The following is a 25,174-nucleotide window of genomic DNA, read 5'->3' on the forward strand; positions in this document are numbered from 1 at the left end:
GAGGCGGGCAGATCACTTGAGGTCAGGAGTTCGAGACCAGCCTGGCCAACATGGCAAAACCTACTAAAAATACAAAATCTACTAAAATACAAAAATTAGCCAGGCATGGTGGTGGCACCTGTAATCCCAGCTACTCGGGAGGCTGAGGCAGGAGAATCGCTTGAACCTAGGAGGTGGAGGTTGCAGTGAGCCAAGATCGTGCCATTGCACTCCAGCCTGGGTGACAGAGCGAGACTCCAGCTCAAAAAAACACACAAACAAAAAGCGTTTTGATCATGGGCTATCAGTGTGAGTGTCACACACTTTCTATCTTAGGTAAAACATGGAGGCTGGATCCAATCCAAGTCTGTTAGCATCAAGCTCAGTTCATGATGTGTGCAAAGTGTACTGTGCCCGCGCCTTCCACCCCTTTCCTTTGTTCCTCCTTAAGGGAGCATGCTTCCTTTCCTCTCAGTTGAGAACCTCTGATTTAATATCAGTAGAATCACAACAGGGTGAAAAAGTATAGACCAGCACCCTAGAGTGTCACCTCCAATTGTGTCTGGTTTTTATTAGACTATATTAATTTTATATACTGCTATTTGTAAGATATAGAGGCACAAATACAGAAAAAAGGAATGAAGTAAGTCCTCATTTAACGTTGCCAATAGGTTCTTGGAAACTGCAAGTTTAGGTGAACCGCCATAAAACAAAATCCATTTTCCCATAAGCTAATTGCTATAAACGGAAGCTAAGTTCCTGGAATAGTTCTAATCGCAAAAGCATCACCAAACTTCTAAATAAAGACCAGAATGCTCCTGACATTAAACACTGAAATAAATATGAGCAATACATACACTTAAGACAAATTCATAGAAACAAGATAATTATTTTCCTGCTTATTCCAGTTCAGGGTGGCAGGTGGCCGGAACCAGCTCAGGCTGCAGGACGGAACCTGCCCCAGCCCGGACACCATCAGATCTCAGGGCGCACTCACACACACCCACACTCACACTGGGACCAGGTAGACATGCCATGTGCACACCTTTGGGATGTGGGAGGAAACCGGAGTACTTACAGAAAACCCACGCGGATGTGAGGAGCATGTGCCAATTCCACATAGACAGTGGCCCCAGCTGGAATTGATTTTTCTTTTCTCATCAATTTTGTAAGAAAATAACGTTGAACTAAGTGTTATTTGGCCGGGCATGGTGGCTCATGCCTGTAATCCCAGCACTTGGGAAGCCAAGGCGGGTGAATCATCTGAAGTCAGGTGTTCAAGACCAGCCTGGCCAACATGGCAAAACCTACTAAAAATACAAAATCTACTAAAATACAAAAATTAGCCAGGCGTGGTGGTGCATGCCTATGTCCCAGATACTTGGGAGGCTGAGGCAGGAGAATCACTTGAACCTGGAGGGTGGAGGTTGCAGTGAGCTGAGATCATGCTACTGCAGTCTGGCCTGGGTGACAAGAGCGATACTCCGTCTCAAAAAAGAAAAGAAGAAAAACAACATTATTTGAGGACCTGCTGTATTTACTAAGTGCCAAGTATTGAATACGCATTACCTCGATTCAGTACACAGCAACCTTCCAAGGTGGCAGCAGCATTGCCGCCCCGGGTGGTTCTCATGTGCAGCCAGACTTGAGAGCCACTGATGGGTGAAGTTTGTTGGCAGATGTCGTGGTTAGTGAATGCTGGGGCTCACCAGCCTGCTCCTTCAAGGCCTCAGGTTCTCCCTGGAGCCCTGGAGCCCTGAAGCTGACACCGCAGATGGTAAGGGAAGACTCACAGGAGGCCACATCTATTCATGGATGTCTGGGAAGCGGCCAGTCCCGTGCCTGCCCCTCCTGGACCTGCCTGCTCTGGCCGTGGGTCTGGAATGGAAGACTTGAGACCCTCCACTGCTGATGGCACTCTTAGGTTGCCACTCGTCAAGAACATTCTGTGGCTCAATATTTGTCAAGAAGGTGGTCAGTTAAAATGGAACCTGCTTAAGAGAAAGAGCAATTATTAAAGCACCACTGTGCCCACTGTGGAGGCTGGAGACTCCAAGTTTATATGGCCAGAGAGAGAGGGGCCTGATGTGGGTTTTTTCCCAAAGCTTCACCGGAACAAAAACCACATCTCTGGCCCTTGCATGGTTATTCTCCCCTTGGTGCCAAGAGGGGCCTTGTGCTGGGCTCTGGGATGCCTGTTAGGCCTAGCTTCAAGAGCTGGGTAGCTAGCAGAGGGCTGTCCAAGCTCCTTGGCTGTTTCCTTCTCTGCCTCCCTTACTGCCCACATTTTGGTCATTTTGCTGCTCATTAGCACCTCCTCCAGAAGGTGACCTGGTTAAGGGGAGGAGGTGAAACTCAAATCCTGCAATTTTCCTGCCTGTTAGCAGCTCTTATAAAAGTCTTGACGGACAAGCAGGTTAATGCTGTTGGCTAACCCTGGAGCCTCCAGCATCCCCGTCCAGGGGCTGCATGGGGGCTTGCATTTACTGAGCACCTACTGGCATCACTAGAGCAGCAAGTGATGTTCTGTGAGGTGCTGATGAGTTCACGGAGCACTTTGGAATGTATGGCTCAGGTGATCCTCACAGCAAGCCTATGGGGTCACTATAATTCTTGTCTTATTTTACAGATACAGAAGCTGAGACTGTGAGAGGCAAGTGACTTGTTCAACATCCCACAAACCACAGCAAATAAGTCCACCAGGAATGTGAATTCTGATAGGAAATTGGGAGTCCAGATCCTACTCGCATTACTATACCACTCTGTTTTTCTACCACGTCACATTTGGTGTGAGGATTTCAAGTTCCCATTCTTGATATACTTCTGACCTAACGGGGGAGGGATGGCATCTTCAAGGTGAAAACCTAAAAAACAAAAGGGAAAGGGGCATGTGAGATCACAGCTGCTATGAGGAAGATGAGACATCAACAAACCAGGGAGAAGGAGGAGGGGTATCTCGAAAGCGGTATCATAAATGCACTTGAGGCTGGGCATGGTGGCTCACGCCTGTAATCCCAGCACTTTGGGAGGCCGAGGCAGGTGGATCACCTTAGGTCAGGAATTAGAGACCAGCCTGGCCAACATGGTGAACCCCATCTCTACTAAAAATACAAAAATTAGCGTGGTGGCAGGCACCTGTAATCCCAGCTACTTGGGAGGCTGAGGCAGGAGAATCGCTTGAACCCGGGAGATGGAGGTTATAGGGAGTGGAGATCGTGCCACTGCACTCCAGACTGGGTGACAAGAGTGAAACTCCGCCTCAGGTGGAGGGCATTTTGAAAGACAGAGCCCAGAGGAGGTGCTAGGCAGGGATAGGAAAGCTGGGGGCAGTGAGCAGGGACGGGGGACTGGGCCAGCACTCCTGAGGAAGGAGACCTTGCAGGATGACAAGAGTGTATGGTACAGATAAGAGTGTCGTGGGAGGTGTGGCCACTGTGCAGAGTGTTAAGGCAGGTGCCAGACTGGGGAGGCTGCGCTTCCTTCACGACTTCTGCCGGTGTCTGAGCAGATCAGGTCTGTGGTTGGAGCTGTGCCTCCAGGAAGGCCAAGTGGCAACTGTGTGTGGATTAGGCCAGAGGGGACAGAGTGGAGGCAGGGGAATGAGTCTCACTGGCCAGGAGGGAGAAACAAAGGAAAGGAGGGGCCTGACCAGCAGAAAGACATTGTGCAAACCGAATCACCTCTATTTATGACTGCAGTGAGCTCTCAGCAGTGCCTGTTGAACTAGGCTGCAGGGCTTCCATAATGTTATCTTGTTGTAGCATCAAAAGGCTTAGTTTTTTGTTTTTTTTTTTAAGTTTTTAAAATGGTTTAATTTCTTTGAATATCATCGGACTAGAGTTTGCCCAGGTGGCAGAATTTAGTTAGGGCCTTTAGCTGAAAATTGTTAGTGCAGTGAAGGTTTACCCTGAGTGGGCAAAATATTAAGGATCCCTTTCAAGTTTATTTTCAATTGATAAAATGCTTATTCTCCTAACCAATTCTTCTTTTTTTTTCTTTTTCAACTTTTATTTTAGAATCCAGGGGTACACGTGCAGGATTGTTACAGAGGCCTATTGCATGACTCTGAGGTTTGGGGTATGACTGAACCCATCCCCCTGGTAATGAGCACAATCCCTAATAGGTAGATTCTCAGCCCTTTTCCTTGTCCCTCTCTCCCGCCTCTAGCAGTCCCCAGTGTCTACTGTTCTCCTCCTTATGTCCATGAGTACCCATTGTTAAGCTCCCACTTATAAGAACATGCAATGTTTGGTTTTATTTCTGCATTAGTTCACTTAGGATAATGGCCTCCAGGTGCATCAATGTTGCTGCAAAGGGCATCATTTCATTCTTTTTTATGGCTGCATAGTATTCCATGGTTCATACCACGTTTTCTTTTTTTTTTTTTTTTTCATTAAAGTAGGCCTTTAATGGTGGAATTACAGTCATCTTAGTTGAAGAGATTTGTTTTTCTTTGTTTTTTTTAAGTTTTAGGGTACATGTGCACAATGTGCAGGTTAGTTACATATGTATACATGTGCCATGCTGATGCGCTGCACCCACTAACTCGTCATGTAGCATTAGGTATATCTCCCAATGCTATCCCTCCCCCCTCACCCCACCCCACAACAGTCCCCAGAGTGTGATGTTCCCCTTCCTGTGTCCATGTGTTCTCATTGTTCAATTCCCACCTATGAGTGAGAATATGCGGTGTTTGGTTTTTTGTTTTTGCGATAGTTTACTGAGAATGATGATTTCCAGTTTCATCCATGTCCCTACGAAGGACGTGAACTCATCATTTTTTATGGCTGCATAGTATTCCATGGTGTATCTGTGCCACATTTTCTCAATCCAGTCTATCATTGTTGGACATTTGGGTTGGTTCCAAGTCTTTGCTATTGTGAATAATGCCGCAATAAACATACATGTGCGTGTGTCTTTATAGCAGCATGATTTATAGTCCTTTGGGTATATACCCAGTAATGGGATGGGTGGGTCAAATGGTATTTCTAGTTCTAGATCCCTGAGGAATCGCCACACTGACTTCCACAATGGTTGAACTAGTTTACAGTCCCACCAACAGTGTAAAAGTGTTCCTACTTCTCCACATCCTCTCCAGCACCTGTTGTTTCCTGACTTTTGAACGATTGCCATTCTAACTGGTGTGAGATGGTATCTCATTGTGGTTTGATTTGCATTTCTCTGATGGCCAGTGATGGTGAGCATTTTTCCATGTGTTTTTTGGCTGCATAAATGTCTTCTTTTGAGAAGTGTCTGTTCATGTCCTCCCACTTTTTGATGGGGTTGTTTTTTTCTTGTAAATTTGTTTGAGTTCTTTGTAGATTCTGGATATTAGCCCTTTGTCAGATGAGTAGGTTGCGAAAATTTTCTCCCATTTTGTAGGTTGCCTGTTCACTCTGATGGTAGTTTCTTTTGCTGTGCAGAAGCTCTTTAATTAGATCCCATTTGTCAATTTTGGCTTTTGTTGCCATTGCTTTTGGTGTTTTAGACATGAAGTCCTTGCCCATGCCTATGTCCTGAATGGTAATGCCTAGGTTTTCTTCTAGGGTTTTTATGGTTTTAGGTCTAACGTTTAAGTCTTTAATCCATCTTGAATTGATTTTTGTATAAGGTGTAAGGAAGGGATCCAGTTTCAGCTTTCTACATATGGCTAGCCAGTTTTCCCAGCACCATTTATTAAATAGGGAATCCTTTCCCCATTTTTTGTTTTTGTCAGGTTTGTCAAAGATCAGATAGTTGTAGATATGTGGCGTTATTTCTGAGGGCTCTGTTCTGTTTCATTGGTCTATATCTCTGTTTTGGTACCAGTACCATGCTGTTTTGGTTACTGTAGCCTTGTAGTATAGTTTGAAGTCAGGTAGCATGATGCCTCCAGCTTTGTTCTTTTGGCTTAGGATTGACTTGGCAATGTGGGCTCTTTTTTGGTTCTATATGAACTTTAAAGTAGTTTTTTCCAATTCTGTGAAGAAAGGCATTGGTAGCTTGATGGGGATGGCATTGAATCTGTAAATTACCTTGGGCAGTATGGCCATTTTCACGATATTGATTCTTCCTACCCATGAGCATGGAATGTTCTTCCATTTGTTTGTATCCTCTTATTTCGTTGACCAGTGGTTTGTAGTTCTCCTTGAAGAGGTCCTTCACATCCCTTGTAATTTGGATTCCTAGGTATTTTATTCTCTTTGAAGCAATTGTGAATGGGAGTTCACTCATGATTTGGCTCTCTGTTTGTCTGTTGTTGGTGTATAAGAATGCTTGTGATTTTTGTACATTGATTTTGTATCCTGAGACTTTGCTGAAGTTGCTTATCAGCTTAAGGAGATTTTGGGCTGAGACAATGGGGTTTTCTAGATATACAATCATGTCGTCTACAAACAAGGACAATTTGACTTCCTCTTTTCCTAATTGAATACCCTTTATTTCCTTCTCCTGCCTAATTGCCCTGGCCAGAACTTCCAACACTATATTGAATAGGAGTGGTGAGAGAGGGCATCCCTGTCTTGTGCCAGTTTTCAAAGGGAATGCTTCCAGTTTTTGCCCATGCAGTATGATATTGGCTGTGGGTTTGTCATAGATAGCTCTTATTATTTTGAGATACGTCCCATCAATACCTAATTTATTGAGAGTTTTTAGCATGAGGGTTGTTGAATTTTGTCAAAGGCCCTTTCTGCATCTATTGAGATAATCGTGTGGTTTTTGTCTTTGGTTCTGTTTATATGCTGGATAACATTTATTGATTTGCATATATTGAACCAGCCTTGCATCCCAGGGATGAAACCCACTTGATCATGGTGGATAAGCTTTTTGATGTGCTGCTGGATTCGGTTTGCTAGTATTTTATTGAGGATTTTTGCATCAATGTTCATAAAGGATATTGGTCTAAAATTCTCTTTTTTGGTTGTGTCTCTGCCCAGCTTTGGTATCAGGATGATGCTGGCCTCATAAAATGAGTTAGGGAGGATTCTCTCTTTTTCTATTGATTGGAATAGTTTCAGAAGGAATGGTACCAGTTCCTCCTTGTACCTCTGGTAGAATTCGGCTGTGAATCCATCTGGTCCTGGACTCTTTTTGGTTGGTAAGCTATTGATTATTGCCACAATTTCAGCTCCTGTTATTGGTCTATTCAGGGATTCAACTTCTTCCTGGTTTAGTCTTGGGAGAGTGTATGTGTCAAGGAATTTATCCATTTCTTCTAGATTTTCTAGTTTATTTGCGTAGAGGTGTTTGTAGTATTCTCTGATGGTAGTTTGTATTTCTGTGGGATTGGTGGTGATATCCCCTTTATCATTTTTTATTGTGTCTATTTGATTTTTATCTCTTTTTTTCTTTATTAGTCTTGCTAGCGGTCTATCAATTTTGTTGATCCTCTCAAAAAACCAGCTCCTGGATTCATTAATTTTTTGAAGGGTTTTTTGTGTCTCTATTTCATTCAGTTCTGCTCTGATTTTAATTATTTCTTGCCTTCTGCTAGCTTTTGAATGTGTTTGCTCTTGCTTTTCTAGTTCTTTTAATTGTGATGTTAGGGTGTCAATTTTGGATCTTTCCTGCTTTCTCTTGTGGGCATTTAGTGCTATAAATTTCCCTCTACACACTGCTTTGAATGTGTCCCAGAGATTCTGGTATGTTGTGTCTTTGTTCTCGTTGGTTTCAAAGAACATCTTTATTTCTGCCTTCATTTTGTTATGTATCCAGTAGTCATTCAGGAGCAGGTTGTTCAGTTTCCATGTAGTTGAGCGGTTTTGAGTGAGATTCTTAATCCTGAGTTCTAGTTTGATTGCACTGTGGTCTGAGAGGTAGTTTGTTATAATCTCTGTTCTTTTACATTTGCTGAGGAGAGCTTTACTTCCAAGTATGTGGTCAATTTTGGAATAGGTGTGGTGTGGTGCTGAAAAAAATGTATATTCTGTTGATTTGGGGTGGAGAGTTCTGTAGCTGTCTATTAGGTCTGCTTGGTACAGAGCTGAGTTCAATTCCTGGGTATCCTTGTTGACTTTCTGTCTCGTTGATCTGTCTAATGTTGACAGTGGGGTGTTAAAGTCTCCCATTATTAATGTGTGGGAGTCTAAGTCTCTTTGTAGGTCTCTAAGGACTTGCTTTATGAATCTGGGTGCTCTTGTATTGGGTGCATATATATTTAGGATAGTTAGCTCTTCTTGTTGAATTGATCCCTTTACCATTATGTAATGGCCTTCTTTGTCTCTTTTGATCTTTGTTGGTTTAAAGTCTGTTTTATCAGAGACTAGGATTGCAACCCCTGTCTTTTTTTGTTTTCCATTTGCTTGGTAGATCTTCCTCCATCCTTTTATTTTGAGCCTATGTGTGTCTCTGCACATGAGATGGGTTTCCTGAATACAGCACACTGATGGGTCTTGACTCTATCCAATTTGCCAGTCTGTGTCTTTTAATTGGAGCATTTAGCCCATTTATATTTAAGGTTAATATTGTTATGTATGAATTTGACCCTGTCATTATGATGTTAGCTGGTTATTTTGCTCGTTAGTTGATGCAGTTTCTTCCTAGTCTCGATGGTCTTTACATTTTGGCATGATTTTGCAGTGGCTGGTATCGGTTGTTCCTTTCCATGTTTAGCACTTCCTTCGGGAGCTCTTTTAGGGCAGGCCTGGTGGTGACAAAATCTCTCAGCATTTGCTTGTCTGTAAAGTATTTTATTTCTCCTTCACTTATGAAGCTTAGTTTGGCTGCATATGAAATTCTGGGTTGAAAATTCTTTTCTTTAAGAATGTTGAATATTGGCCCCCATTCTCTTCTGGCTTGTAGAGTTTCTGCTGAGAGATCAGCTGTTAGTCTGATGGGCTTCCCTTTGTGGGTAACCCGACCTTTCTCTCTGGCTGCCCTTAATATTTTTTCCTTCATTTTGACTTTGGTGAATCTGACAATTATGTGTCTTGGAGTTTCTCTTCTTGAGGAGTATCTTTGTGGTGTTCTCTGTATTTCCTGAATCTGAATGTTGGCCTGCCTTGCTAGATTGGGGAAGTTCTCCTGGATAATATCCTGACGAGTGTTTTCCAACTTGGTTCCATTCTCCCCGTCACTTTCAGGTACACCAATCAGACGTAGATTTGGTCTTTTCACATAGTCCCATATTTCTTGGAGGCTTTGCTCGTTTCTTTTTATTCTTTTTTCTCTAAACTTCCCTTCTCACTTCATTTCATTCACTTCATCTTCCATCGCTGATACCCTTTCTTCCAGTTGATCGCATCGGCTCCTGAGGCTTCTGCATTCTTCATGTAGTTCTCGAGCCTTGGTTTTCAGCTCCATCAGCTCCTTTAAGCACTTCTCTGTATTGGTTATTCTAGTTATACATTCTTCTAAACTTTTTTCAAAGTTTTCAACTTCTTTGCCTTTGGTTTGAATTTCCTCCTGTTGCTCGGGGTAATTTGATCGTCTGAAGCCTTCTTCTCTCAGCTCGTCAAAGTCTCTCCATCCAGCTTTGTTCCGTTGCTGGTGAGGAACTGCATTCCTTTAGAGGAGGAGAGGCGCCCTGCTTTTTAGAGTTTCCAGTTTTTCTGCTCTGTTTTTTCCCCATCTTTGTGGTTTTATCTACTTTTGGTCTTTGATGATGGTGATGTACAGATGGGTTTTTGGTGTGGATGTCCTTTCTGTTTGTTAGTTTTCCTTCTAACAGACAGGACCCTCAGCTGCAGGTCTGTTGGAGTACCCTGCCGTGTGAGGTGTCAGTCTGCCCCTGCTGGGGGGAGCCTCCCAGTTAGACTGCTCGGGGGTCAGGGGTCAGGGACCCACTTGAGGAGGCAGTCTACCTGTTCTCAGATCTCCAGCTGCGTGCTGGGAGAACCACTACTCTCTTCAAAGCTGTCAGACAGGGACATGTAAGTCTGCAGAGGTTACTGCTGTCTTTTTGTTTGTCTGTGCCCTGCCCCCAGAGGTGGAGCCTACAGAGGCAGGCAGGCCTCCTTGAGCTGTGGTGGGCTTCACCCAGTTCGAGCTTCCAGGCTGCTTTGTTTACCTAATCAAGCCTGGGCAATGGCGGGCTCCCCTCCCCCAGCCTCGCTGCTGCCTTGCAGTTTGATCTCAGACTGCTGTGCTAGCAATCAGCGAGACTCCGTTGGGTAGGACCCTCCAAGCCAGGTGCAGGTTATAATCTCCTGGTGCGCCGTTTTTTAAGCCTGTCGGAAAAGCGCAGTATTCGGGTGGGAGTGACCTGATTTTCCAGGTGCCGTCTGTCACCCCTTTCTTTGACTAGGAAAGGGAACTCCCTGACCCCTTGTGCTTCCCGAGTGAGGCAGTGCCTCACCCTGCTTCGGCTCGCACACGGTGCACGCACCCACTGACCTGCGCCCACTGTCTGGCGCTCCCTAGTGAGATGAACCCGGTACCTCAGATGGAAATGCAGAAATCACCGTCTTCTGCGTCGCTCACGCTGGGAGCTGTAGACCGGAGCTGTTCCTATTCGGCCATCTTCTCTCCTAACCCAAAAGGCTTAGTTTTTGATCCCCAGATGGCTGACATATCTGCCCTGAGATTTGTAATTTTTGTAGGAAAACTAAGATTCCTGATAAAGATTCAGATCTTTCTTCAGTAATAATTTTAAAACTCTCAAACTTTCTCTAACAACTTCTTCCAGGCTTCATAAATGCAGCTATGTTATTAGGCTCTTTGAAGAGAGGTAAGGGGGGTACCTGTCTTCTACATAATATATCAGAAAATTTCAATTCTTTAGACTTACTCTCACCAGCCTCCCAGGTATGTAGTTTTTTGTCTTACTATAAGTCCCTAAAATTAACTGGCCCACAAAACGTCTTTAAAATCAATGTTTAGTTCCCCATACTCATCTTTCCTTCTTTCTCTCCCTAGAATAGGTCTGGCAGTAAATAAATTTAGAAACTTTTTTTATTTCCTGACTTAAACTGACATTTGCATTGGGGAGCAGGTAAGAGTTTTGTTGTGTATGTGTGTGTTTTTTTTGTTTTGTTTTGTTTTTGACAGAGTCTTGCTGTGTTGCCAGGCTGGAGTGCGGTGGTGTGATCTCAGCTCGCTGCAGCCTCCACCTCTGAGGTTCAAGTGATTCTCCTGCCTCAGCCTCCCGAGTAGCTGGGACTACAGGCGCGTGCCACCACGCCCAGCTAATTTTTGTATTTTTAGTAGAGATGGTTTCACCATGTTGGCTAGGACGGTCTCAATCTCCTGACCTCGTAATCCACCCACCTCGGCCTCCCAAAGTGTTGGGATTACAGGCGTGAGCCACCACGCCCAGCTGAGAGTTTTTTCCCAAGTTCCATTCAGATTTTTTATTGTGCAGTTCCTACAAGCTGTGATAAATTTCAGGTGGCCAGGGTCCCACCTCTCAGGCCTCTTGAACTGCCTGCCAGTCCTTGGCCTCCTCCCCTGCTGAGGTCAGCCTTCACGCAGATCATTTGTACCCCCAGCCCCTCGAGCTGATCCAGAGTCCAATTCTAGGCTAGCCAGTGACCTGTGGAAAGTTGGGAGCAAAACGTTTTATTGGACCCATCAGATTCTAGCTCTTGAGAATTTAGATGGAGGAAATCAGGCATCCGTATGAGCTGAAGCTGAAAGGAGGTGCTGATGGAGAAAGGGATTGGAGGGGCCATCATGGACCATGTCAAAGCCTAAGTTGTGTAGCAGCAGAAGCCATGAGGAAGCTCTGAAATGTGGTCCGTGAAGGGAGGAGAGTGGAGCAGACACAGGAGCTAGGGGCAGAGGACAGCCTGTCCCTGGAGCTGCCTCCAGATCTTGCTTTCAGACTCCAGTTCAGGTGCATGTATATCCCATGAGTAAGCCCTCTGCTTCTTGGAGTGCTCTGGGTCTAGGATTCTTTCCTCGTATAGGACATCCCTTCAAACTAAAAACCTGCCAACAACCCTAAACACCAGCATCCCCTGGCACAGTGCAATCTGAGGGATACTCAGCAGCTCTTCTCACGACAGGTCTGGCTGGCAGCCGAGGCTCTGCATGTCTATCACAGCCCTAGGTGCTGCCACTCCTGCGGGCCCCCAGTTCACAAGGGCAAGAGAATGGGTGACTTGCACGAGCAACCCTGTTACTCAATTAGAAAGAAAGAAATCCGGATCTAAAACAAAACCAACAAAAACTAGGTTTCCAGCCAATCTAAAAGAAAGAATAAGTGATATTTCCTCACTTTTTTTTTCCCTTTCTGTGGCATTTAGGAAAAGAGTAGAGGAAGATGCTCAAATCTGGCATGACCAAGAGCCTCTGAGGCCTCAGGATCCTTAGTATCTTGAGGAAAGCTTTTTTCTTTCTTTTTTATTTTTTAGAAGAATTCTTGGGTTTATAAATAAATCTGTTCTCTGATATCAATAAATTCACCCAGAGAGGAGGAATTTTTTTTTTTTTTTGGCTAAATGGATTGGTCTTGAATAGTTTCTAAGACTCTAACAAGAAACTGCTAGATTTCACTAGAAGGCAGTATGATGGAATCTGGTAATCATTCTAAACTCAGCAGTAGGTCTCCTGATGTGCAATTTCCAAACATGCTGCTTTCCATTGCTGCTGAAGTCTGTTGAAGTTTTTGATGCATATTTTGCTTTTAAAATGAGAGGGTTGACTCTTGACCAAATGACTGAGTGCAAATGGTAACATCATTTTCCTCGCACATATTTTCCTGTTCTAACTTCAGGCTAGATCAATGTTTGCCCTCTTCAAACACTGGAAAGGCTCCACTGGGATAGAGGTAACAGTGAGATGGGAAATAAAGGGAAAACAAAGAGAACATTACTGCAAATACCAGTCAAACTTGGATCTGGTTCAAAAAAACCAAAAGGTATAATATAAAAATGTAAGCTTGAAAAATATCCAGTAGACTAAACATTCACTCATCCTGATTAAAAAAAAAAAAAAAAAAAAAAAAAAAAGGCTTTGCCTTGGTGTCTTCTGGGCTAAACTCTTGGGCAATGGCTTTTAGTACAGTATAATTTGTTAGCATTTACTGCCGGTGATAAATTAGGAGGCCCCACCATGAGATTTTACTGCTTCAGGTAGGGTGATCACAGCTTTCCAAATTGTAAATTACTTTAGCAACTACTTGGGACAGAAGGAAGTGAAACAGAACACTTAAGCTTAGAAGACCACTTCTTATTCTTCCTCTACCCTGGTGCTTATCTGCATGGAATGCTTGGGTAAAAGCAGGCTTTAAAACATCCCGCCATCCCTTGCCTGACCAGCCTTTTTAATTGTCTTTTGAGTAAACTTCAAAGCCATCTGTTAGTTATGCAAAAGATATCAGTACAACTCACCTGATGTTAAACATAGTGCTTACTGGAAGCACCACATTTTAGGTAATCATATTTTTTAAATGCTACTCTTGGACTTAATAATCCATACTTTGTTATTTAACCAACTTCTTAAGAGAGTCTTTAATCAAAAAGGTCACTACAAGGCTAAATTCCTTAAAACCCCACTAAGATAGTGGAAACTACATATACGATAATAAATCAGACTGTTCATCTGGGACATAACAGAGTTTTAGAGATGTCACATTGATCATGCTTTTTGAATCTGAAATCACACATTATGTAATAAAGGTTTCTTAAGGAGACAACAGGACAAAGTATTTGAAAACGAAACTCATTTTTATTGAGTACCTTCCCTGGGTCAGATGCTTTGTATATGCTCTTTCATTTAATTCTCCCAATAGCTCTACAAATTGCTTTTCCTATTTTGTTTTAATTATTTTTTTTTTTAGAGACAGGATCTTGCTCTGTTGCCCAGGCTGGAGTACAGTGGTGTGATCATAGCTCACTATAGCCTCAAACTCCTGGGCTCAAGTGATCCTCCTGTCTCAGCCTCTCAGTAGCTGGGACTATAGGCGTGTGCCACCACACCCAGCTAATTTTTATTTTTATTTAGTAGAGATAGGGTCTCACTATGTTGTCCAGGCTGATCTCTAACTCCTGGGCTCAAGTGATCCTCCTGCTTCAGATTCCCAAAGTGCTGGGATTGTTAACATGAACCACAGCACCAGCCTGCTTCTCCATTTTATAGATAAGGAAACCAAGCTTCAGAAGTGTTAAGTAGTTTGCTATTTATCGGTAATTCAGGTACTCAAATATAAGTCTGCTATATTCCAAAGCCCCTGTTCTATTCTCTATGTCCTAAGATACTATCCTAAACAATGGCAGCTCACTCTCTAATCCTCTTTCCTTCCCCCTACTATCTTCCTGTCTTCCTGTAGCTCTATTTTACTATGAGCTCTATTTACATTCTATGGCTCTATTATGCTGGAAGCATGTTTGGCTGGCTATATGCAGTTATTTGTAATCCCTGCCTAGGGCATTTATTAAGCATCTACTACAGGTCAGTAACTAGGAGAGCTGTGGATGGCTGCAAGTAAGGAGGGATAGATAATTTTCACCAGCCATGTCATGCCCTATTGACAATTTAACAGTGGTAGGGAATACTCCAGGGTTCCTATGGTTCTTTTTTTTTTTTCCCCCGAGATGGAGTCTTGCTCTGTCACCCAGGCTGGAGTGCCACGGCGTAATCTCGGCTCACTGCAACCTCTGCCTCCTGGGTGCAAGCAGCTCTCCTGCCTCAACCTCCCGAGTAGCTGGGATCACAGGTGCCCACCACCACACCCGGCTAATCTTTTTATTTTTAATAGAGACGGAGTTTCACCATGTTGGCTGGGTTGGTCTCGAACTCCTGACTTCGTGATCTGCCAGCCTCAGCCTCCCAAAGTGCTGGGATTACAGGTGTGAGCCACCACGCCTGGCGGTTCCTATAGTTTTGTGGTGGCTCTTCCTACTTCACTGCCATCTCCAAAGCCAAACCTCTTCACCAGCTGCACTGGGCCTGGCAAAGCTTGGCTAGAAAGGGCCCAATAAGGAGACCAGGGCATGGAAAAGGATCTGAATCACTTGTCAATACTATTATATAAAACAAGCTAAGATGAATGAATACATTTGTAAATATTTCAGTGTTTAATTATAAATCAGTGTTTTTAAAATCTATTGGCAACTGATCCTCCAGCAAGATTTTTATCAGTCTACACTCCCATCAGCTGTGCACCAGCTGAGTCCCTGGGTTTGCAGACATTTAGCTAGCAATCTCCAGTTTGGTTTAGAGTGATGTCTGCTTGTCTGGCGGCTTCAGAATTTCTAAACGGGAAAGACTCAGGGACAGGGAGGTGGGAAAGTGCTTTGAAACCGCATCTGCATAGCACTTTACATGAGATTGACAAAGTGTCCATTTTCCACATCAAAGAATGGGGTAGGGGAGGATTGCACAGGAGAGAGGACTTAAAGCCACCATTTGCCCCACTGGGCTGAGCACTAACAGCCATGGGCTGCGCCAAAGCCCCAGCTCTGAGTGGAATTCATTCAGCAAGATCTGTCTCCCAGAATATGACCTTGCAGACCACTGCTTTTGTCTTAGCAGATACAGCCAGTGAGTCCGCACATGTCTGACTTATCTTCTGCCAAGTTTGAGAGAGCCAGGCTTTTCGTATTCGCTATCTCTACTGGGTCCTACAGCACTAGAGAAGAAAAATCTCCCACAAGCAGATTCGAATACCCTCTTGCTAACTAACCAGAAACCATTTGAGGTAGAAGATGGCTGATGGCAGTCTTGTATTTATCAAGTTTGCTCTTCACCAACTGGCTTCTTGGTTACCAGTAGCTCATAATAAGAGCTCGTAAGTTTTAGTGAGCATTAACTATGTGGCAGACACCATGCCATGCCCTGTACCTACACTGTCTTATTTAAGCCTTTCAATTATCCCCTGGGACAGTTACTGTTATCCGTATGTTACGATGAGAAAACTGGCACTGAGAAAGGCTAAGTTACCTGCTGAAGCCCACACTAGAAAATGGTGTTGCTGGGTTTAGAACTCAGGCCTGACCTCTCCGTGGCCCAACTTTTAATACAGTGTTGAAGGATATGGGAGGTGAGTAGGGCAGCAAAGGATGGCTTTCATCATTTTCAAAAGTTGATTATAAATTTGTAAAATAAAGCAGAGTGTTTAGATTATCTCACTTAAGATATATTAAGTGAAATGAGATTAAGCAGTTTCTGGTCTCCTGCTATGGTGGGCTTCTGTGTTCTCTAAGCTTGAGTAGCACAGCAGCATTTCAATGTAACAGGCTCGTGACTCCAATCAAAGATCCTACCTGCCAGTATTCAGATGCAGTCACTCTGAGAGCAAGGGCATTTATTAAGCATCTACTACAGGTTAGAAACTCTGCTAGTGATTTATGTGTGTAAAGGGATGTTTAGAGGGCCTATTCCTGATGCCTTGGAATCGGCCCTGGGCCCATAATAACACAGGTTATGTGTTCATGTTTCTAACTCAGGGAAAGCTTCCAAATATTGGGGCTGGGCTTCCTAAGACTTGGCAAACCTGCCTCACTACAATCAATCCCTCATTTCCTCCAATCCTTCCTGCTTTAGAGCTCATGGAATCAGGACCCTGGGAGCTTTGGCTTTGCCTGTGTTCCTGGACAGCTAAAGGAAGGGGAATTACTAGTTCCTTAGTAATTTTATTAGTAATTCAAGAGAATTACTAATAAAAACTGGGGTTATCTCATTCATTTGTTCATTCACTCATGCACCAAACAAATGCTGTGTGTGGGATCCATCCAGTGTGCCAGGTGCTTGTGATACCTCAGTCACAAAACCACAGTCCCTGCCCTCATGGAGCTCATGTTTGAATGTCTACTCAGGCAGTGGACATGCTCATTTGCCTGGTGCCAGCCTGTGGTAGAAATGCAGGTGCTGCCACGCATCAAGAGGCCTCCTCAGTAGGTAGGTGGGTTGGAGCCTTCTTGTCAGTGCCCATCTAAAGAGCCCAATAAGGAGACCAGGGCATGGAAAAGGATGTGAATCACTTTTCAATACTATTACATAAAACAGCTTAAGATGAATGAATACAGGAGGTCCCTGCCTATAAGACGCAGGTCTGTGCCCATATGGAAGTTGAGAGAGATGTGGACAAAGGCAAGCTGGAAGAGATCTTCCCATCAGAAAATAGTGGGGTTGGGGAAAGGTGACAGCAAGAGGGACTGCAAGGCCCTCTGAGGCCTCACACATGGTGCCTTGAGAGATATAGAATACCCCCAGTTTTCTTAGGGAGGGTTGCAGCTGTTTTACCTGGTCTCAAGTAGATTTTACTAGAATGCTCTCCCTAGCCATCTTCACAAGCAGACTAACAAGGCCTCCTCTTCCTCCTTAGCCTAATCAAATCCATCTGGAGAGACAGAGGGCATGGCCTCCCTTTACACCCGCTATCCATCTGAATTACCTGGACAGGACCCGGAGTCTTGCTCACGCCAGTATGAAATTGTCCCTAGGCTCTCCTGACACTTCCCAGAGCTGCACTGTGTCTTCCTGAGTGCAATGGATCCAAGGTGACATTTACAGGAGAGTGCTGATTTGATCTTGCTTCTAGGAAGCAGGGTAAGGCTGAGGTCCTTGGCCTTGACAAGGCAGGACCCAAAGGCCAAAGGTTGCTATTTAAACACACGTTTCTAGCTGAGCAAGTTAATGTTGCCAACGTTGACAATATTTAAAAAACGTCTCCCATAAGCAGGATGCTGCTGCTGCAAGCCAGACAAAGAAGCACCCACTGTCCCCCGGCAGCTCACTGCATGCTTGGAAGTCAGTTGAAAACTTCGGAGATCACTTTGTTTTACTCAGAAACTGCTTATTTTTCAAAGTTAAAATTTTTCAAAGTTAATATTTTTCAAAGTCACAATTAAGCAGTTTCTGATTTTTTGTTTCTACTGAGCTGCTCCATTTGTTATCTGTTAAGTGATCAAAATAGGCAAAGGCTTTCTTTTGACATTTTTCTTTTTTTCTTTTTTCTTTTCATTTTTTTTTTTTTTTTTTGAGATGGGAGTCTTGCTCTGTTGCCCAGGCTAGAGTGCAGTGGCGCAATCCCGGCTCACTGCAACCTCTGCTGGTAGGGTTCAAGTGATTCCCATGCCTCAGCCTCCTTAGTAGCTGGGATTACAGGCACGCACCACCACGCCTGGCTAATTTTTGTATTTTTAGTAGAGATGGGGTTTTGCCATGCTGGCCAGCTGGTCTTGAACTCCTGACCTCAAGTGATCCGCCCACCTCAGTCTCCCAAAGTGCTGGAATTACAGGTGTGAGACACCACGCCCTGCCTCTTTGGACATTTTTCTCACTCCAACAATTTAAGGAGAAGAGAGGTTCTTAGTTACTGACAGGAAGGTGATTGCCCATTATTCTGAAACTCAAAAATAAAAGTGCAGAAAGATTGATCAGAGGATTTGCTCTCTCTGGAAATACCGGTCTTGCCATCTTTCAAGCAAATAGCGGCTCACTGGTAGGAATTTCAAAACCTGTGCTTAAACTGCCAAATTCCTTTCCTCTGCTGTTCCCATTTCTCTGTAATGATGGCCCCAGAAGGGAGGCTTGGTGCAGGCTGACGCTTTCTCTGCCTTGGGCAGCATGGAATGTCTCGCCTTTGACACACAGCCAGGCTCCAAGGAGGTCCTCCATAAACACTTGTGGATACATGTTTGTGGTCTGTGTCTGCAGTGCATTTACCTTCTCTACCTTCTCTATTATAATTCACATTAGTCCTCCTTTGTCTCTCTAACAATAGAGAAGGGTAGGAAAACCTTTTTTGTAACCTAATTTCAAACTCATCACCTATTTCTTTCATTACAACCTTCATCATTTACAGCAAGCAAAGCAAGCCTTAGGTCATCATTTTCCCATTAGTAGAGGACAGCAAGGGTTCACTTTATATGAATATTCTTTCCCTTTCCCACAAAGTAATGATCTAAGACTTCTAGCTAGGGGGAAAAAAAATGGTGTTCTTCCCAACCTGGAAATGGCATTGCTCATTAAGTGACTGAGGCTTGCTGAATCCTATGCAAATCAGTCCTGATGAGCCTTTAACTAATCTGTTTACAAACCAGACCTGCTAGACAGGCCTCAGTGATTTTCTATCAAAGCAAAAAGCACTGCTCTTTATGGGCATCTGGCTGTCCCTGAATGGGTAGTTTAAACATAGACTCTTTCCTTCAAAGTAAGATCAAAGGCTTTATGACTCCTAAATGAGTGCATTATTTCCACTTACTACCTTCTTGTTTGCAATTTGTGTTTATTAACAGCACTGTCTCAGGTTTACTTTGTGAATTACTAGTTTCTGAAAACAGTATGGCAGTTTTATGGACCACAGTATACATTTGTGGAGATTATGTAGCATATAATATATAGAATGGCCCATCAGACAGGACATTAGGCAAAGACAGTTCTCTGCAAAGATGACAATGCCTGACCATGCAGAATACATTCATGATTTTTTTAAGGAAACCATCTGGCATAACAGGGCTAACACAAGAAAAGATTCCCCAGCTCTCCAGATTTGATAACTCTTTGACTACCTTAGAAGAATTTTCTTTGAAATTTTATTTCTTTTGAAGAGAGTAAGTACCTAAAGCTGTATCGTAGGTGAGGGAATGCCACTGGTACTTTTCAAGGAGAAGCACAAACAGGTTCTTTTAGAGAACAAGCAGATTGTTTTAAAAACCACAACAAAGATTCCAGCATGTAACTAACCACTTAAGAAACCCTTCTTTTAGTCCTTCAGCTAGCAGCTTCCCAGTGCGAAGACAGAGGTCTCTATCGTCCCTGGTCCTAACACAGAGATTAGAACCCTGTCCTTCACTCCCACCATCCAATTCATCTTAGGAGGATAAAGCTGCCAAGAAAATTGCATCTTTTAAGATTTGTGGTGACTCAGGTATACAAGCTTCAAGGTGTCACTGACCTATAAAAGGGACTAGACTAAACTGCAATGAGTACAGTGCAATGCAGGGAACATCCACCTTTGGAAGGGGCAGCTTTTAATGTCACTAGATGGTCCAGCCAGAAATTAAATGGGATGGCCAGGAAAGGCCATAATCAGGGACCAAGCCACTGTTCAAAGTCATATCAGTTTTTAATAGATTTTTTTTTTTTGGACACTGAAGTGAGCATAAATTCACAAGGATAAAAACACATTTGTCAGAACCCCATGGACAGACCCCCTACCAATCCAAAATGAATTGGGCTGAAAGTGGCAAGCTGGACAACAGGGAAACTAAACCCATCATAAATCTTCTCCTTAAAAGTCTCTTCCAGCTTATCACCTTCTAAGTGTCCTTGATGGCCCAGTTCTGCCATTGCAACTTTGAAAAAAAAAAAAAAATCAGAGACTACGTATTAAACTCAAGTCAGAAAAGTATGCCTGCACACACAAGCAGAATCAGAAATTATGTTATAGAGGCTGGAGAAATAAGACATTCGGATCACAAAGTGACAAACATGAAAAATTTTAACTTGGAGATATGATGATTCCTAGAACTCACAAGAGGAAAGTAGTGTGAACAGGAGCACATTAGGCTTTAACTGTATAATGTTCATTAACATGTTAATGAACATTTATACTGGAACTATAATATGGCAGTTGAGGTACAGGATATAAAGATACTCTCCCTCTCCAGCAGTTTGTTTTATGTTTCACTCTGTATCCTGACTCTTGTTTAAGTCAACTGTTTGCATCTCTTTGTCTAAGACAAACGTTTCATCTCTGAGACAAAGGGTCAATTCTAGGCAAAGCAAAAGCCAAATAAATGAGTTAGGAGTTAACTAGTAGAGCATACTTACATTAGCGCAAATAAGCTATCAGGTCTCCTGGTCATCTTGGCTCATAAAAGGAACAAAACTAAACCAAGCAAGGAGAATGAATCATGTTTGGCACTTACAGAGAGTGGTCCTCAGGTCAGGGTTAAGGTCATTAAGGGGAGGGAGAGAGAGACGAGATGAAAGCTGCATTTGCTCTGGAGTCTCTGGGATTGGGACTCTGAAGTGAAATTTCTGGAAGAGGTCTCAAATAGTCTAAAATTACCATAGAATACTTCAGTTCTATCCATAAATGGTATATAAACGAAGTTCAAGAGGCTCAAAACAAACATAAAAGACTAGTGAACTTAATATCATCTGAACTCAGAGGGGCTGAAAAGCTCCATCTGGAAGTGAATTAACTCTTTCAGGGCACAAGGCTATCTCTTAATGGTGCTGGGAGGAGTAATTCACTTCCAAAAGGCCCAGACCATCATTTTTACAAGGAGAACTGGCAACAATTATGCTCAATTCGTATGATTAAAGGGAAAATAGTGAAAAGATTTTAAGTTTTGATTTGACAATGTCCATGAGAAGTTTTCCACTCTAAAATCCTGTTTAGTATTGACACAATATTTATTCTAACCTACAGTAATCCAAACTCTAAAGTATTTTAGGCATTTATCATGTTTAATGACTACAGCAAATGCCAAATTTTGTCCTTTTGAAGATAAAATGCTGCACTCAAAAAGTCATGGGATTTGCATATACAGCCAGGGCTGAGAAACACACCCCAAACCTGCTTTTGATTTTATGAGTCTGGCTGTGAAGAAGGTTTCCATAGTTTCTTCCTCTGCCAATGTCATTATTTCACAGAGAGGCCTGCCAAAATGCAGCTCGAAGCTAAGCTTATGTGTCAGGTTTATTCAAGTGGCTCATTCTAGATGAGCTTTCTTGCTATCTCTTTACCAGGCATGACGGACTATCATTAATAAAAATGTATTGATCTCTGAATCTATTCCTGGCTATAAAAAAAACCTTAATAAATGAGATGGCTATATGAGCAATAAATAATACCTAACCAGAGAGAGTCCAAAAACTGTCAGAAGCACATGCCTCATGTTTTCTTAAACCCTTAACTATGGGGAATCAGAATTTTAGAGCTAAAACAAACCTTAAAGATCAATGGGATGCCCTCATTTTAAAGAGAAGGAAACAGATCTACAACACACACAGCTTAGTGCTGACCTAGGGCTAGAGCTCACGTCTCCTGTCTCCCAGCCCGGGAACCATTCTTGTAACCAAGGCATTCGAAAGCACTCCCTGTAGGCTGGTTGCAAAGGGCTTCTGATTTACTGTGTTTTCCTATTAATGCTCTAATCTGAATAAAGAAGTGTTCATCCCCTTTAGATATTCTTGAATTATTAAATGATGAATACAATTACATAGCAAAAGGTCATCTTCAGTCTGTCTGCCACCAATGAGAGACGATTCCACTTGCGCATCGGTATGATGGACACGCTAGTTTATGGGTCTGACACCTTGCATGGAATGTTACAAATCCCTATGATGTCCTTAAGCTCCCTCTTCAATTGAACTGAAAGATGGCTAAAAACCCCACTCAAGCAGACGCCTCCCCATTGGCTGGCCATTTGAGAATACTCAAGGGTGCAGTTACCGCAGCTGAGGCTGGTAGTAACTCGTGCTGTTTTCCTGAGCAGCAGCAGGCTTCTGATAGTAGCCTGGGTAGAATTTATGCACGTGGATAATTTTGCCCCATTCTCTGCTCAGATTTGCCTTTCTCCCCCCTATAATGTGGACATAATATACACATTTCTGATTGCTTAGAAAACAAGATAGAAATTTGTGTAATGTGAAGAATGGCCAAGGAGTAGGCCCAGTTCATTTGGTGTTCACTTACATGTGGACTCAGCTGTGGCTGAGCCGTGTGCTCCATTATAATGGTGTCAGATCAGTAGGATGGCAAAGAGTCTCTCATACACCTATTTACAGATTCCCTTGAGTAAATCAAACCTAGATTATTCTGAGATTCACCTCATGTCTCAAGGTCTACATAGCATGTTATGTAAGATTACATTTGCAACTGCTGTACTCCATAAGGGGCAATAGGTGCATGCTTTACTGTATGCAAGTACATAAAAGTTTAGACTAAGCTTGCTACCAAAAATGCATACTCTCTCTTCCAGAATTTCTCCAGTTTTAGCAGCATAAGCTAAACTTTTGACTAATAAACTTGGTCTGCTAAGCAAGAATCTTTAAGAAAACGTTTATGCAGTCAGTAATTCACCTAACATAAATGTAATGCCCTAGCTTTCACTCATTCATTCATTTATTCAAACGCTTATTGAGCTCTTAATGCTAGGTGCTGAACTCAACGCAAACCTCAAAGCTGATACGACACATTCTGTGCCGTCCAGCTCACAGTCTGGTGAGGAAGACAAATGAGCAAAGCTGCAAATATAATGTAACAGGGCAAGTCCTATGATGAGAAAGATGTCAACAAACTGCTGTGAAAACAGAGTGGAAACGACTGAGTCTGAAGTTGCTGAGGAAGGCTTTTTAGAAGACAACAGTGCTGAACCGGTCACGGTGCCAGAAGGGGCGGCATTCCAAATGGAAGAAATGGCATGTGCAAATGTACTGAGGTGTGCAAAGCATGGCACGTTTGGGAAAAGACAAGTATTGTGGGCAGTGGTGCTGGTGAAATAGAAGCCCCAGCAGGATGGCTTTGGAGACCAGACTGTATCCTAGGCTCAAACATTCTAAACAGGGTTGGCCGGATTGGATTTCAGTCTTAGAAAGACCTCTCTTGCAGCAGTGCTCAGCAATTGGGAAATAAAACCAGGCTGGTGGCCAAGAAGCAGCTTTAAATCTAGAGTCAGAAAGCTTAGTAGCTGCCAATGGCTGGGGGCCGGGAGAATGAGCAGTGATTACAAATGGATGCACGGGATTTTGCAGGGGTGATGGAATGTTCTAAAACTGAATTGTGGTGAGGGTTGTAAAACTCTCAGTTTACGAAAAGCCATTCATTGTATAAAAGGAGCAAATTTCATTGTATGTACACTATACCTTTAAAAAGCTGTTAGGGAAAATAAAAGGTGTCGCTGCAGATACTGAAGTGCCCTAGATCAGGGGTCTCCAACCCCCGGGCTGAGGACCAGTACTGACCTGGTCCGTGGCCTGTTAGGAACTGGGTTGCGGGGCAGGTGAGTGGCCAGCCGGTGAGCAAGCATTACTGCCTAAGCTCTGCCTCCTGTCAGATCAGCAGCTGCATTACATTCTCATAGGATCCTGAACCGTATTGCGAACTGCACATGTGAGGGATCTAGGTTGTGTGCTCCTTACAAGAATCGAATGCCTGATGATCTGAGGTGGAACAGCTTCATCCCAAAACCATTCCTCCAACCACCACCCATGGAAAAACTGTCTTCCACAAAACCAGTCCCTGGTGCCAAAAATGTTGGGGACTGCTGCCCTAGATAAGAACTGGTGAGGGCCTATAATAGGCACTAGAGATTTAGAATTAGCTAAGGAGAATGGGTGGAGGAATGGAGGAGTCAGGGATGGGTCCTGAAAGCCTGGGAGGAGTCGTGGGATAGGACCAGAAGGAGAAGCAGGGCTTTGGGGGAAAATGAGGAGCTCAGGTTTTGATATGCTGAGTTCAGGTCTTGTGGAACATACACCTAGAGCAGCGTTTCTTAAACTTTGCCTGACTGGCATTTTGGGCAGGATAACTATTGTTGTGGGTGCTGTCCCGTGCATTATAAGAGGTTTAGCAACATTCTTGGCCTCTGCCCACTAAATGCCAGTAAAATGGACAACCAAAAATGTCTCCAGCCATTGCCATGTGTCCCCCCTGGCAAGCAAAACTGCCACAGTTGAGAACCACTTATCAAAAGATCTTAACTCATGATATTTTCCTTAGGCTTTTTAAAAATTGAGAGGTAATTCACTATTTACAAGTATACAACTCAGTGATTTTAAAATATATCCACAAAGTTGTGAACCACCACTATTAATTCCAGAACATTTTCATCACTCCCCCCAAAAAACTCCATATCCGTTAGCAGTCACTCCCCATTTCCCCCTCTCCAGTCCTTGGAAACCACTCATCTACTGTCTGTATGGATTTGCCTATTATCCAATACTTCAAATAAGTAGAATCATACAATATGTGGCCCTTTGCATCTGCCGCCTTTCACTTGGTATGTTTTTAAGTTCATCCATGTGGTAGCATGGATCAGTACTTTATTCCTTCGTATGGCCAAGCAATCTTCCATTGTGCAGATATGACAGTTTGTTCATCCAATCATCAGTTGGGGGATATTTGGATTGTTTCCACTTTTTAGCTATTATGAATAATGCTGCTATGAACATTTGTGTACAAGCTTTGTGTGGATATATTTTTTTCCTTATGCATCTAGGAGTGAAATTGCTGGATCATGTGCCAACACTGTTTAACCTTTTGAGGAACTACCGAGCTATTTTCCAAAGTGGCTGCACCATTTTATATTCCCAGCAGCAATGTATAAGGGTTCCAGTTTTTCCATATGCTGCTATCATGTGTGATTGTCCTTATATC

At 43.3% G+C, this 25,174-nt stretch overlaps 1 annotated feature.

Annotated features, from left to right (window-relative positions):
• Positions 1,708-2,207: an enhancer, noted in NCBI's record as "H3K4me1 hESC enhancer chr7:27539095-27539594 (GRCh37/hg19 assembly coordinates)". NCBI's record gives its function as "activates a minimal SCP1, AML or CMV promoter by ChIP-STARR-seq in primed H9 embryonic stem cells {active_cell/tissue: H9 hESC(primed)}" and the evidence as "EXISTENCE:reporter gene assay evidence [ECO:0000049][PMID:30033119]".

The sequence above is a fragment of the Homo sapiens genome, chromosome 7 (assembly GCF_000001405.40).
Source record: "Homo sapiens chromosome 7, GRCh38.p14 Primary Assembly".
Lineage (NCBI taxonomy): Eukaryota > Metazoa > Chordata > Mammalia > Primates > Hominidae > Homo > Homo sapiens.